This window comes from Homo sapiens, chromosome X (assembly GCF_000001405.40).
Source record: "Homo sapiens chromosome X, GRCh38.p14 Primary Assembly".
NCBI lineage: Eukaryota > Metazoa > Chordata > Mammalia > Primates > Hominidae > Homo > Homo sapiens.
In genome coordinates, this window is record NC_000023.11 from 119449548 (window position 1) to 119465145 (window position 15598).

The 15598-nt window shown below is 43.1% G+C and overlaps 1 protein-coding gene and 1 pseudogene across 7 annotated transcripts in view, besides 1 other annotated feature; both read left to right on the forward strand.

Annotated features, from left to right (window-relative positions):
- Positions 1-4931, forward strand: part of SLC25A43 (solute carrier family 25 member 43) — a 55143-nt gene extending 50212 nt beyond the window's left edge. For 3 of the 7 annotated variants that reach the window (XR_001755662.2, XR_938547.2, XM_047441902.1), the window contains one exon: positions 2462-2543. Coding sequence is in view for 2 of the 7 variants with exons in the window: in NM_145305.3 (NP_660348.2) it covers positions 2462-2596; positions 3318-3518 (336 nt within the window). In the remaining 5 variants the exon portion in view is untranslated. Of the gene's footprint in view, positions 1-2302; positions 2597-3317 lie in introns of those variants that run through there. The other 4 variants (NM_145305.3, XR_938546.2, XR_938545.2 and 1 more) reach the window with 4 other exon arrangements.
- Positions 6819-7113: a silencer, noted in NCBI's record as "tiled region #3305; HepG2 Repressive DNase matched - State 9:DNaseU". NCBI's record gives its function as "represses a minimal TATA promoter and a strong SV40 promoter by Sharpr-MPRA in HepG2 cells {active_cell/tissue: HepG2}" and the evidence as "EXISTENCE:reporter gene assay evidence [ECO:0000049][PMID:27701403]".
- Positions 7011-7111, forward strand: RNY3P16 (RNY3 pseudogene 16; annotated as a pseudogene).

Consider the following 15598-nt stretch of genomic DNA (forward strand, 5'->3'; position numbering starts at 1 on the left):
AGGGAAACCCTGTCTCTACAAAAAATACAAAAATTAGCAGGGCATGGTGGCACATGCCAGTAGTCCCAGCTACCAGGGAGGCTAAGGTGGGAGGATCACCTGAGCCCAGGAGGTTGAGGCTGCAGTGAGCCGTTATTGCACCATTGCACTCCAGCCTGGGTAACAGAGCGAGACTCTGTCTCAAAAAAAGAAAGAAAAGAAAAGAAAAGAAAAGAATTGAAAAGGACAAGAGTGGGTCCAAGAGGCCAGTAACAGACTGCTACAGTAATGCACACATGAGATGGTGGTAGCCTGAATTATGGGAGTGCCAGTGGGGATGGAAAGGAGGATTGCTTGGATAGGGCAGTAAGGGTGGGCGAAATGAAGGAATTCCAGGTTTCTGGCTTGGGGTAGCTTGTTAAAGACTTGGGCCATTCATCACTGAGATAAGAAATACAGAAGAAAGAATAAATCTGACACTGTCAAGAAGAAAGGCAACGATAGATTCTAGGTGTGTCGAGTTTTGAGTACTTGTGTACTATCCAGGTAGAGCTGCCCAGTAGGCAGTTAGGTGCTTGGTTTTGGAGGTCAGTGGGAGGTCAGAGCCAAAGATAAAGATTTGGGAGCCATCTGCCTGTAGGAGGTGTTTAAAGCAAAAGCTATGGTAGAATTTCCTAGAAAAGGTATATAAATTGAGGAGGACCAAAAGAGTTCCTGGTTATCAGTGCCAAATATTGCCCCCTAAGAAATCCAGTAATAATATAGCCAAAAAGAGCCACTGGATTTGGAAACCAGGAGGTCGACAATGGAATACATTTCATTTATTCAAATGTTTATTAAATATCTACTATGTGTTAAGAATACTAAGGATACAGAAGTCAATAAAACAGATCAAAAAATCCCTCCTTACATGTAGCTGAAATTCTAGTTGCAGAGAAGGAGCAGATAAATAAAGGAAATAAATAAGTAAATTATTCCAAATATTAAAAGGCAGTGAATGCTCTGAAGGTTAGATAAGCTGCCTAGGGTCACAGGGCCAAGTAAGTGAAGAAACTAGGACTAGAAACGAACCTGCTCAACTCCAGAGTTGTGCTCTTCTTACTGTTGTACCACACCTCCTCTCCCACATCGATAATCTTGGTTCCATTGCCACAGAATGCCATATAGCCCCAACTAAACATTTCAGAAACAAACCAAAGTATGTGTATAGCTTAATCTAAACTCAACACCATTTCTGAAAGCCAGCTCTGAGGGGACATCCCCTTCACAGTGGACAGGTAGTACCAGTTTTATATGTAGATGGTATATTGAAAAGTCATTTCATCTGATCGTAAAATTATTTTTCTAAGAGGATGGCTGGGTGCAGTGGCTCACGCCTGTAATCCTAGCACTTTGGGAGGCCAAGGCAGGTGGATCACTTGAGGCCAGGAGTTTCAGACCAGCCTGGCCAACATCGTGAAACCCCATCTCTACTAAAAATATAAAAATTAGCCAGGTGTGGTGGTGTGCACCTGTAGTCCTAGATACTCAGGAGGCTGTGACAGGAGAATCGCTTGAACCCGGGAGGTGGAGGCTGCAGTGAGCCGAGATCATGCCACTGCACACCAGCCTGGGCAACAGAGTGTGAGACTCTGTCGCAAAAAAAATAATAATATTAAAGGAGAAAACGTTCCTTTCAGAGATGGAGCATTTTGGTAATAATAGGGTTCCGTCAGGATGGCTCTGAAGGTGGTGATGATGTCCACGGGGTGGCCAAAATGGTATAAAGGTGAGGATCACTGAAGCCGAAGGCCAGAAACTGGTCATGGGCTGGGTCGTCTTTATAGATGCCAAAGTTACCTAAGATGACGGCGAGGCTAGGAGAGGGTGAGCCACCAGGTATCACAGTCTTCAATGAACGTGGAAGAGTGGCCAGATTAGTAGATAATAGCAGGCCAAGGAGTATGGTTCAGTGACATCAGCCCCAGCTAAGTGCTTCTGTCGTGAGAGTGAAGGAGGAAGGGTTTGGGAACAGCAACAGAGAGCGAGAAGAATGCCACCATCACAATGCTCCCTACCCTGTCACATCTGTGAGGTGGAGAAATGAACAGCCTCCGCTTGGGAGCTTCACAGGGGAAGGACCAGTAAAGACAAGGAAACAGAATACTTTAAAAAGGCTAAGGGCATGGGATTATGTTTATCATGTCCAGAAGGCACAGGTTGGGAGGGAATGTAAGTATGAAATTGAATCTGTCCCAAATGTCTGCTTCCTTCCAGGCAAAATAAACGACAAATATATGGACAGGGTATCATGATTGTATTGCACGTTAATATCTGTTCTAAGCCCACAGAACAAGAAGAACCCCACAGCAGCCATTCTTTGCCATCATCTTGGCCAGGAACCCAGCATCCAGAATGTAGACTTGAGACCCTGGCTCCTTCCACTAGGACATTTATTTCCTAATGTTTCAATCACCTCATCCCAGCTTCTGTTTCCTGTCAGGCTCAGAGCCCCTACCTCCCACACAGTGGAGGAGTAGATGTCCATTTCTCAGGAGCAGTGGACTGCTTCCGGCAGATAGTGAAGGCCCAGGGGGTCCTGGGGCTCTGGAATGGATTGACAGCCAATTTACTGAAGGTGAGAAGAGCCACCAGCCTCCGCTGCTCCCCTGCCTCTTCCAATTCTACCCTCTTCCTTTGTCACCCCCAACCCCTACTACAGTTTGCTTGGAAAACCCCCTCTAGCACTAATGGGTAGCACAAGGCCCATGAATGCACACTGTCTGTCAGCCCCGTAGAGAGGGGAACCTGTGCAGTGGTGGAGTATCTTATACCCCATTCCAGAGGAGCTGAGCATTTAGTGCAGAGATACTTAATGTGGAGGTTCATGGGCCCCTAATGGGAACCTAACCCCTCATCCTAAAATTCTATGCAAAAATGTATGTGTATATGCATATGTGCATCATATTCCCAAAGAACTCCATGACAAAAAAAAAAAAAAACAAAAACAAAAAACATTAAGCACTCTGGACTAACCTTGCACTAGCTGGCATGTAAATGATTCCAGTCAAGGCCAGCATATAGTGACAGGTAGTATCAGATAGTCTGCGTGCATATGACCCAGATCTAGTGCCTCCCAGGCAGGTCATGCCCTTCAATCACTGTCATTCCTCTCCCAACCCACACTGAGCCAGCTTTCCTTTTGCCATCTTTCCTGATTCCAAAAAGAGTTACCATTTGTATTGCCACCGCCATTATCTCACTTTACAAGATAATTTACCCTGATCCAAGTTGACTGCAGACACATTGATGTTTTCTTTTTAAGAACTTAACTTGATTTTCATTTTTGGTTTTAACAGATAGTTCCATATTTTGGAATTATGTTTAGCACCTTTGAGTTCTGCAAGAGAATCTGTCTTTATCAAAATGGTTACATTCTGTCTCCACTGAGCTATAAATTGACCCCAGGAGTCGATCAGAGTTTGCAGCCCCAGGAATTACGAGAATTAAAGAAGTTCTTCAAAACGAGAAAACCGAAGCCTAAAAAACCAACTCTATAAAATGGAATGGAACTAGAAGTGCACTGACTGACAGCATGTTGCAATCACAGATAAATGTAGCCTCATAACTGTGCACCTGAGGAGGGATGAGAAGCTACTGCTATCTGCTGCTCTGGGAAATGAGATGGTTTGGCCATGCACCACCTCAGATCTCCAAACTGATGTCCCTGTGAACACCTGCACTATGAGAAGGTTTCCCAACAAGAGTGTATCATGATGGCATTCCACGAGATTTTATAACCAGAGTCTAGCAGTGATAAAATGTACAATTTACGCTCTGAATAGAAACATGACACCAAAGAAAGGGCATTGCCATGACATCTCAAAGCAACAGGTAATTGAAGTGGCTGAGTGGATACCACGTTGTGAGGTCAGCCACTGGGTCACTTGTAGTCAATGCAAAGCTTGCACAAACCAACGTCAGCCTAGTTTCACTCAGTTTGACCTGAGACTTTCCAATACAATCTGTTGTTTTGTTTTGTTTTTAGAGACAGGGTCTTGCTCTGTCACCCAGACTGGAGTACAATGACACAATCATAGCTCACTGCAGCCTTTAACTACTGGGCTCAAGACATCCTCCTGCTTCAGCCTCCAGAGAGTTGGGACCATAGGTGCACACCACCACACCTAGCTAATTTTTTGGGGAGGTCTTGCTATGTTGCCCAGGCTGGTCTTGAACTCCTGGGCTCATGCAATCCTCCTGCCTTGGCCTCCCAAAGCGCTAGGATTAGAGGTGTGAGCCGCTGCACCCTGCCCCAGTACAATCTTTTTTGAACTCAAATTTTTGCTGACATCTGAGTGCACACACCACAGTGTAAATTATGCCTTATCAGAATCTAAATGAAAATAGCGAACATTTAAAAGCTATCACCATTGTAGTAGAATCATCCTTCTTTTTTGAAATTTGAAGCATCCCAGGCTTAAAATCTTGTGTTTCAGAAAGACAGTTTATACCATGACTGCTTAATTATCCCCCCAAAGACCTTCTGATTGAAGTCATGTACAGTTCAGTGGCCTAAATTCTCTGCCTTTTTAACTTGCTTTGCAAGCCTACTCTGAAAATAAGTTATTTAGTCAAGTTATTCTCAAAGATGTCCCAGTTGCCTAGAAAGGATCAAATGGAACATTTGACACACATACTCAAAAAAATGTAACTGACTATAAACACTTTAACCTAATCATCTGTATCAAACTTTCTAAAAATCAAATCTCAGGATTGTTCCACTTTAGAGATTCTATGTAAAGTTTATATAACTATACTTGTCAAATAGCACCTATCTATGCATTTAAAAATGCATTAATATCTAACATAAAATTGTTAATTTATACACACACATACACTCATACATAGAGAGAGATTTTCGGTATGTTGCAAGTATTTTTTCCGATTAAATTTATTTTCCAAAGAAAAAATGATGTGTTGGTCATTTATTGCTAGTCTGAGTTATAAAACTATGGTTAAATACATATTGGCCAAATCTGTAAACTCTCAAAGCCTTATCCTATTTAAGTATACCAAAATAATTCACTTTTCCAACTGCTGCGGCATTCTGTTTTATGGAGAATGGCAGTTAACACACACACACATGGAAATCTCATCTGTAGCTCAATCTGTTAGAGTTTGGAGGGTGGCAGATTCTTTACCCAAAGTGAATAGTTCATGTTTATTACTCTTTATTTTCCTTGAAACAGACAACTTTTCAAACAGTTCTGAAAGCTGCAAAAATATTTTTTACTTTTTTAACTATAAAATCCTAACCTCACATTATTTCATGATAATATCTTGTGTATTCTTCCACAAGTAATTTTTTTTTTAATTTGAAAAAAAAAATTGTCACCCAGGCTGGAGTCCAATGGCGTGATCTCAGCTCACTGGAACCTCCTCCCGGGTTCGAGCAGTTCTCCAGCTTCAGCCTCCCGAGTAGCTGGGATTACAGGCGCCTGCCACCATGCCTGGCTAATTTTTGTATTTGTAGTAGAGACAGGGTTTCACCATGTTGGCCAGGCTGGTCTCGAACTCCTGACCTTAGGTGATCTGCCCACCTCTGCCTCCCAAAGTGCTGGGATTACAGGTGTGAGCCACCACACCCTGCCCTTCCACAAGTATTATTAAATAGATAGCTAAACTCTTGCAGTTGTCATGCACAGAAATGTTTTCTGAGCTGCAGTTTTGATTTTTTCTTCATTAAATTAAGTGGGGAAAATAATACGCCTGATTTTTCTAATTTCAGAAGAACTCTAAAACTCTTGTTCTGTTTCTAAAATAAACTTCCAGCTAATTTCATTTTCTTTGGATTATGAAGAGAGAGTTCTGCCTTTCTGCTTTATGGCTGACAGTGAGCACCACACTGGACTAAGTACTTGAGAAGGATTATAAAGATGTGTGATGCAATGTTGACTCAGGAGGAATTTATGGTCTTGAGGAACAAATCATACCTACATATATGAAATGACTATGATTACAAAGCAAATACAAGCAAAGGCATGATAATGTAGTATGAACTGTTCATAAGATTGCCAAGAAGCTCTATACAAACTTAGTGAATAAAAAACTAAAGGGATCATCACATGGGAGAGAGACTAGTGATCAACAGGGATTTGGGGAGGTTGTGAGTCTTTTTTTTTTTTTTTTTTTGAAACAGAGTCTCGTTCTGTTGCCCAGCCTGGAGTGCAGAGATGCAATCTTGGCTTACTGCAACCTCCACCTCCTGGTTCAAGTGATTCTCGTGCCTCAGCCTCCTGAGTGGCTGGGACTACAGGCGCCTGCCACCATGCCCAGCTAATGTTTGTATTTTCTTGGTAGAGACGGGGTTTCACCATGTTGGCCAGGCTGGTCTTGAACTCGTGACCTCAGGTGATCCACCTGCCTCAGCCTCCCAAAGTGCTGGGATTACAGGCATGACCCACCGCACCCAGCCATGAGTCTTGAACTAAGTTTTGAAAGAAGTTAAGGGATATGTATTGGTCACGAATAGGAAGGCATTGCAGGTTAAAGGCAGGGCATTGCAGCATCACAGAGATGGAAGCAAGCAAAAGTGGGTCAGAGCAAGAAAAGTGGCTTTGTGCATTTATTCAATAACTGCTAGGCACTACAGACACAGTGGCACAAAAGGCAGATAAGGTCCTTGCCTTCAAGGAGCTTACACTCTAGTGAGAGTGGCAGTCAATAAACAAGTAAACTAATAAATAATTTAGGTAATCATGGACTGTGATGTTATGAAGGTGCTTATATAGAGGGTGCTTTATTAGAGAATTATGTGGAGGTAAGGGGAATATTTTATTTTTGGTTTTTGTTTTGAGACAAGGTCTCGCTCTGTCGCCTAGGCTGGAGTGCAGTGGCGCGATTTCAGCTTACTGCAACCTCTGTCTCCCCGGCTGAAGTCACAGGGGAATATTTTAAATCAGGGAGCCAGAGAAGGCCACTCTGACAGGTGACATTTGAGATGAGACCAGAAGGATGAGAATGAGCCAACTATGCAAAGAACCAGGGAGGGCTGGTCAAAGTGCAGTGGTGTTTACAAGTAATTGACCACAATCAGCTACAGATTTCTTTGTTCCTTCCCACTCCCACTGCTTCACTTGACTTGCCCTAAAAAAAAAAAGAAAAAAAGAAGGGCTGGGCGCGGTGGCTCACGCCTGTAATCCCAGCACTTTGGGAGGCCAAGGCAGGCGGATCACTTGGTCAGAAATTTGACACCAGCCTGGCCAACATGGTGAAACCCCGTCTCTACTAAAAACGCAAAAATTAGCTGGGCCTGGTAGCACACACCTGTAATCCCAGCTACTCAGGAGGCTGAGGCAGGAGAATCCCTTGAACCCGGGAGGCGGAGGTTGCAGTGAGCCGAGATTGCACCACTGCACTCCAGCCTGGGTGACAGAGCGAGACTCCGTCAAAAAAAAGAAAGAAAGGACAGAAAGGAAAGAAAGAGAGAGAGAGAAAGAAAGGAAAGAAAGGAAAGAAAGAAAAAAAAGGAAAGAAAGGAAAAGAGAAAGAAAGAAAGAAAGAAAGAAAGAAAGAAAGAAAGAAAGAAAGAAAGAAAAAGGAAGAAAGAAAGAAAGAAAGAAAGAAAGAAAGAAAGAAAGAAAGAAAGAAAGAAAGAAAGAAAGGAAGGAAAGAAAGAAAGAAAGAAAGAAAGAAGAGAAAGAAAGGAGAGAAAGAACGAGGGAGAAGAGCATTCCTGGAAAGAAGAGAAAGAAAGAAAGGAGAGAAAGAACGAGGGAGAAGAGCATTCCTGGCAGAGGGAAGAACAAGCACAGAAGTGTGGCAGTGGGAAAGCCTTGGTGAACAGAAAGGAGGCGAGGGTAGCCAGAGTGTGGTGAGAGAGTGGGATGAGATGAGATTGGAGAGAGACAGCCAGGTCTTATGTGGCCATGTGGGCCAGAACAAGAAGTTAAATTTTATTCTAAATGCTGTGGGGAGGCATTGAAGGTTTTTAAGCAGAAAAGCGATATAATCTGACTTTGATTTTTATAAGATTACTCAGTTGCTGTGTGGAGAATGGATTGGAGGGAAGCAAGGCTGTGAGTGAGAAGACCAGTTAAGAAGCGATTTCGGAAGTCCAAGCAAGAAAGGATGGCTTGGACTAGAATGGTGGCAATAAAGATGGAGAGGAATGAATGAGTTCAAGATGTATTTTGAAGGTGGACTCAGCATGATTTGCTGAAGGATTGAATATAGGGAGTTAAAGAAAGGAGTCAAGGGTGGCACCTAGGTTTTTGGTTTTTGTTTTTCTGAGACAGGATATCACTCTGCTCCCCCAGGCTGGAGTGCAGTGGCGCAGTGGCGCAATCTCGGCTCACTGCAACTTCCGCCTCCCAGGTTCAAGCAATCCTCCCACCTCAGCCTCCCAAGTAGCTGGGATTATAGGCATGCACCACCACGCCCAGCTAATTTTTGTATTTTTTGTGGACATGGGATTTCACCATGTTGCCCAGGCTGGTCTCGAACTCCTGAGCTCAAGTGATCAAGGCCTGCCTCGGCCTCCCAAAGTGCTGGGATTACAGATGTGAGCCACCGAGCCTGGCTGGTTTTTGCCTTTTGACTTGAGAACAGGTAGATGATCTTGCCATTTGCTGATGTGAGGAAGACTGAGGAGGGACAGAGTTTTGGTGGGGAGGAATTCAAAGTTCTGTTTTGGACATGTTAAATTCAAAATGCCCATGAGACATGCAAGTAGAGAAGTAGACAGTGGGCTGGAGCACATGCTGTCTGTGTAATTGTCCAAACCAGTCGTGGTAAGCAGAATAATGGCCCTCACCAAAGATGTCCACACCTTAACCCCCAGAACCTGTGAGTATGTTACCTTTCATGACAAAAGAGACTTTGCAGATGTGATTACTGTTACAGACATTGAGATGGAGGGATTCTCCTGGATTCATTGGGTGGGCCCCTAATCACAATCCTTAAAATCACAAGTGGGGCCAGGCACGGTGGCTCACGGCTATAATCCCAGCACTTTGGGCGGCCAAGGCGGGTGGATCATTTGAGGTCAGGGGTTTGAGACCAGCCTGGCCAACATGGTGAAACCCCACCTCTACTAAAAATACAAAAATTAGCCGGGTGTGGTGGCACACACCTGTAATTCCAGCTACTCAGGAGGCTGAGGCAGGAGCATCGCTTGAACCTGGGAGGTGGAGGTTGCAGTGAGCCAAGATCACACCACTACAATCCAGCCTGGGTGACAGAGTGAGACTTTGTCTCAAAAAAAAGAAAAAAAAAAAATCACAAGTGGAAGAGGAAGACAGAAGAATGGGTCAGGGAGATGCAAGGATGGAAGAAGAGGCAGGAGAAATGAGGCCTGAGAAGAACTGGACTCGCCACTGCTGGCTTTGAAGACAAAGGTTTCCAGGTGCCAAGAAATGGGTATGGCCTCTAGAAGCTGAGCATGACCCTCAGCTGACAGCCAGCAAGGAAACAAAGGACTTCAGCCCTACAGTCACAATGAACTGAACTCAGCCAAGAACCTGAATAAGCAAGCTAACCAATTCACCTCTGGAGCCTCCAGAGAGGCATGCAGGCCTGCCGACACTTCGATTTTGGCCCAGTGAGACCCACGTCAGACTTGTGACTACAGAACTACAAGCTAATAAATTTGTGTTGTTTAAGCCAATGCATTTGTGGTAATTTGTTATAGCAGCCATAGGAAACTAGTATATCAGAACTTTATTGATAATTATTTCAGGATAATAGGGACAAGTCTAGAGTGTGGGGAAGAGTGATGACTGGAGATAGGAATTTGGGTGTCATCAGCAGATAGATGGCAAGGGACTGAGTAAGAGCAGCAAAGGAGTGGATGGGAAGAAACTTCTGGGGGAGTTGGAAGCAACAAAAACTGACACTCAGGATGGTGGCCAAAGAAAGGCCTCAAGGGACGTGAGGCCGGGCATGGTGACTCATGCCTATAATCCCCGCACTTTGGGAGGCCGAGGTGGGTGAATCTCTTGAGGTCAGGAGTTTGAGACCAGCCTGGCCAACATAGTGAAACCCCATCTCTACAAAAATACAAAAATTACCTGGGTGTGGTGGCGGGCACATGTAATCCCAGATACTTGGGAGGGTGAGGCAGGAGAATTGCTTCAGCCCGGGAGGCGGAGGTTGCCGTGAGTTGAGATCACACCACTGCACTCCAGCCTGGGCAACAGAGCAAGACTCTGTCTCAAAAAAAAAAAAAAAAAGATGGGACTTGAACCAGGCATGCTGACTTGAAGCCCTAGTACATTCTATTGTGATGCAGGTGCCTCTAATCTAATCACAGACAATGAGGAGGAAAAAAAACAAGTATAACAACAATAGGAGACTGGAGAAGGGATAGACACGGGGAAAGTCGGGGCAAGTTGGGGCAAGTCGGGAAAAGTCGTGTACTAGCAGAAAGCAAAAATAAATTCTTCAGTCATTCGTATCTCTCCCTTTTGTTGTCATTGCTAGCCAAAAATAAAAGTAATATCCAAACTAACTGATATGATATTCAGGTCCATTTGACAGCTGTTACTTAGGAACTGTCTAAAATATTCCAATGGGGCCAGGCACAGTGGCTCATGCCTGTAATCTCAGCACTTTGGGAGGCCAAGGTGGGAGGACTGCTTGAGTCCAAAGAGTTCAAGACAAGCTTGGGCAACATAGGGAGATCCTGTCTCTACAAAAAAATTTAAGAATTAGCCAGAGGTGGTGGCAGGTGCCTGTGGTCCCAGCTAATCGAGAGGCTGAGGTGGGAGGGTCACTTGAGCCCAGGAGGTCAAGGATGTAGTGACAGTGAGCCATGATCACGCCACTGCACTCCAGCCTGGGCGACAGAGTGAAACCTTATCTCAAAAATAAATATAAATAAATAAATAAAATATTACAATAGGATGATGGAAACGAGGGGGGTGTGTTTGACATACAGCAAAGCACATATAGCTATAGTAGTCATCAGAAGATAAATACCACATATTAGATCCTGAAATAAATATTTTTGCTCACATCTCTAAAAGGAAACTTGAAATAAAATTTCATGTACTCATTATGTTTACTTTGGAATTAGAAGTTATACATCTTTATCAAAGATGAATCTCTGCTCCATTTTCAATAAGCTCACCTGGGGATCCTGATTGTTATACCAAGCTGCCTGATTTTATATATATCAAATTACATTTAATTATATAGATGCGATATGTAATTTTTCCCATAAAGTTATTTAGTCTTACTCAGACTAAAGTTGGAGATCCATAAAGCAAAATGTATATGTGCAGGGGGTGTTTTGTGTAAATTTAGGGGTATAAGTACAATTTTGTTATATGACTACATTGCTTAGTAGGGAGGTCTCGTCTTCATATAACCATCACTTGAATAATGTACATTTTACCCTGCACAGGTTTAGAAGCTAGTCACAGCTTATAAAATTTATTAAAATATGTCAAATATTTCTAAGTTAAATTTTTCTGAGTTAAATTATTTATATGCAATTGGGCCATATGCAGTGGCTCATGCCTGTAATCCCAGCACTTTGGAAGGCCGAGGCTGGTGGATCACTTGAGGTCAGGAGTTCAAGACCAGCCCAGCCAAGATGGTGAAACCCCATCTCTACTAAAAATACAAAAATTAGCCAGGCATGGTGGTGTGCGCCTGTAATCCCAGCTACCTGGGAGGCTGAGGCAGGAGAATCGCTTGAACTCGGGAGGTGGAGGTTGCAGTGAGCCAAGATCACACCACTGTACTCCAGGTTGGGCAACAGAGCAAGACATTATCTCAAAAAAAATTTATATACAATTGCATTTAAATGGTAACTAACCACCCCCATTGGGCAACATAGGGAGACCCTGTCTCTACAAAAAAATTTGAAAATTAGCCAGGGGTGGTGGCAGGCACCTGTGGTCCCAGCTAATCGAGAGGCTGAGGTGGGAGGGTCACTTGAGCCCAGGAGGTCAAGGTTGCAGTGCCTGATGTGGAGGAACTGGAACTCTTGTATCCCGCTGTTGAGAATGTAAAATGGTATAATCACTCTGGGAAAAAACTTGGGCAGGTCCTCAAATGGTTCAACATAGAGTTAACATGTGACCCAGTAATTCCACTCCTAGGTGACAACCCCAGAAATAAAAACATACGTCCACACAGAAACTTGTATAGGAAAGTTTATAGCAGTGTCATTCATAATAGGCAAAAAGTGGAAATGAGCCAATGTCCATCAAATGATGAATAAACAAAATGTGGGCCAGGCATGGTGGCTCATGCCTGTAATCCCAGCACTTTGGGAGGCCAAGGCGGGTGGATCACCTGAGGTCCAGGAGTTTGAGACCAGCCTGACCAACATGGTGAAACCCTGTCTCTACTAAAAATACAAAAATTAGCCAGGCATGGTGGTGCATGCCTGTAATCCCAGCTACTTGGGCAGCTGAGGTAGGAGAATCGCTTGAACCCAGGAGGCAGAGTTCACAGTGAGCCAAGATTGTGCCGTTGCACTCCAGCCTGGGCAACAAGAGCGAAACTCCATCTCAAAAAAAAAAAAAAAAAAAAAAAAAGTGGCATATCTGTACAATGGAATACTACTTAGCAACAGAAAGTAAATAACTATTGATACGCACAACATGAATGAATCTCAAAGAGTAACATGCCAAGTGAGAGAAGCTAGACCCCAGAAAGAAGAGTGCATAATATATGATCTCATTTATACAAAATTCTAGGAAATGCAAAATTCTAGGAAACTAATCTATAGTGACAGAAAGCAGATCAAAGTTTGCTTGGGGATGGAGAGATTACAAAGGGGCACAAGAAAATTTTGTGTGGTAATGGATATGTTCATGATCTTAATTGTGATGGCTTCACATGTGTATACATGTGAAAAAACTTAGCAAATTGTGCACTATAAATATGTACAGTCTTATTGTCTGACAATTACACCTCAATAAGACTGTTGTTTTAAGCAGTTACCCATGGGCTGGAATCCACCAACTGTTGTTTTGTTTTGTTTTGTTTTGTTTGAGACAGAGTCTCACTCTGTCACCCATGCTGTAGTGCAGCGGTGCAATCACGGCTCAATGCAACCTCCACTTCCCTGGCTCAGGTGACCCTCCTGCCTCAGACTCCTGAGTAGCTGTGACTACAGGCATGCACCACCATGCCCAGCTAATTGTTTAATTTTTTCGTAGAGATGGGGTTTCACCCTGTTGCCCTGGCTGGTCTTAAACTCTGGGCTCACGATATCCTCCTGCTTTAGCCTCCCAAAGTGCTGGGATTATAGGTGTGAGCCACTATGCCCAGCTGTATTTTTCTTAAAATTAATAAAATCTAACACATATTAAATGCTGTTCTATGCACATATTATCTCATTTGCATGTGCCTACAGTCCTCTGAGGTATAGGCACTACTATCATTCTCATTTTACACCTGAAGAAATTGCAGTTTGGAGAGGTAAAGCAATTTACCCAAGACCTGACAGCTAGCGAATGGCAGAGCCAGAATTTAAACTTAAGCAACCTGGTTGCAGGGCCCACCCTCTTAACCACTGGGCTAAATTACCTTTCTCTTCCTATTTGCTCCAGATTCCCAGACCCAGACGCTCAGATCCACTCACTCTTATAGATACAAAAGGATAGAGCCACAGAATCTTAGAATTGGAAAGGGTGTAGAACTCTCTTCCAGACCAACCCAGCGATCTCCCCCATAGCATCCCTAACAAGTGGCTATTCTGCCTCAACTTTTAGCCTTCCCAGTAACAAAAAGTTCACCCCATCGTATGGCAACCCATTCTACCTTTAAGTATCGCATATTTTACAAACTAATGTCTTTTTGAGCTGAAGTCTACCTTCATGAAACTTCTACCAGCGGGTTTAATTCCATATAGAATGTTTAATTTATGAAGACAGTTATGATGTCCTTCTTTCACCCAAAGCTCTTTCCCAGTTAAATATCTCTCATTCATTCAGCCATTTCTCATAATACATGATTTATAGACACTTCACTTTCCTGATTGCCTTGTTTGAATATGTTCCAGTTTGTTAATGTCCTCTTAAATGTAGCATCCAGAATTAAATGTAAAACTCTATGGGCTGGCCAACAGAAACCCAAGTGGAACTGAAAGTCCCTCTGATCTGGTCACTACCATTCTCTTAGTGCAACTCAAGACTCGTTAGTATTTTTTGGCATTGTCAACCCACAGTGAACTAGGACCTAGTTCTCTTTTTCACACATGCTACCATTAAGCTCTATCTCCTCATCCTTAAATGTCTTGCACTAAATAGGGCATTAAAACCCTTTATTGCAATGCTTCCCATTTTATAAGCCTGGGTTTATTCTGGACTTTAGCCCTTATGACTCAATTCCTAGAGGTTTGTGATATTCTTTGGGCTTTGTCCTTGGAAGCATAGTCCTCCTTCTGTCATCTATACATGCACTTTTAAGATCTGAGCTCATCAGAGAATAATCTATAAGGACACTGTAGTTTATTAGAAATCTCTCCCTTTTTAATTTATCATTGGAACTTTTCCAAATTCTACAGTTCTGAATTTTCAACTGGATCCCTCTCCCTTTTAAGCTATCTTTCTCTTTTGGTGTTAGGCCAGATCATACTTATCTTTTCTCTGATCCTTTTGAAGTCTACCTTACACATACACATACATACACCGCACACACACACACACACACACACACACACACACACACACACACACGTTAATTAACCTATGTGACCATGCCCAGCAATTTTTTTTTTTTTTTTTTAGTTTTTTTGCTTAACAGATATCCAGATGACAGGATCACTTTCCCCAAGATTCTTGTCACTTTCACTTTGCTAACCAAATCTTCCTTATTTATTATCAGGATTAAGCCCAGCTTAGCAATTTACCTCATTGCTTCTTTATTCTTTTGAGAACTGTAATTACACTGTATCAGCAAGAGAGCCAAGAATCTATCAGATGTTTTCTTAAATTTAAGATGGTCTTAAAAATAAGAAAAAAGAATGTATCAGATATGTTGCTATCAGAATAACTTCCAGCAGATATTCAGATGTTCTATGTCTCTGATCACCCTTTCCTGTTCGTCTATGTGACAGTTTTATGAAATGCCATTCATACTTTTATTTATTTTATTTATTTTTTATTTTTATTTTTATTTTGAGATGGAGTCTCGCTCTGTCACCCAGGCTGGAGTGCAGCGGCACGATGTGGGTTCACTGCAACCTCTGCCTCCCGGGTTCAAGCGATTCTCCTGCCTCAGCCTCCTGAGTAGCTAGGATTACAGGCCTGAGTCACCGCACCTGGCTGATTTTTGTATTTTTAGTAGAGACGGGGTTTTACCATGTTGGCCAGGCTGATCTCAAACTCCTGACCGCAGGTGATCCACCTGCCTCGGCCTCCCAAAGTGCTGGGATTATAGGCGTGAGCCACCGCGCCCGGCCCCATTCATACTTTTAATCTGAGAAGTCTCTTGTATACTTCTACAACTATAATCACTTTCATTTCTCCGTTTCATTCTCACTGAATGCTTTTCACCCTCCAGCCAATGAATTACTAGTTATACCTTCTTGACATATTACTGCTCTCTTCTTCTGTATGGTATCTCTGAATCAAGTTTTCCAGATGCCAGCCAGAAGTTCCACCCTCCCAAGTCT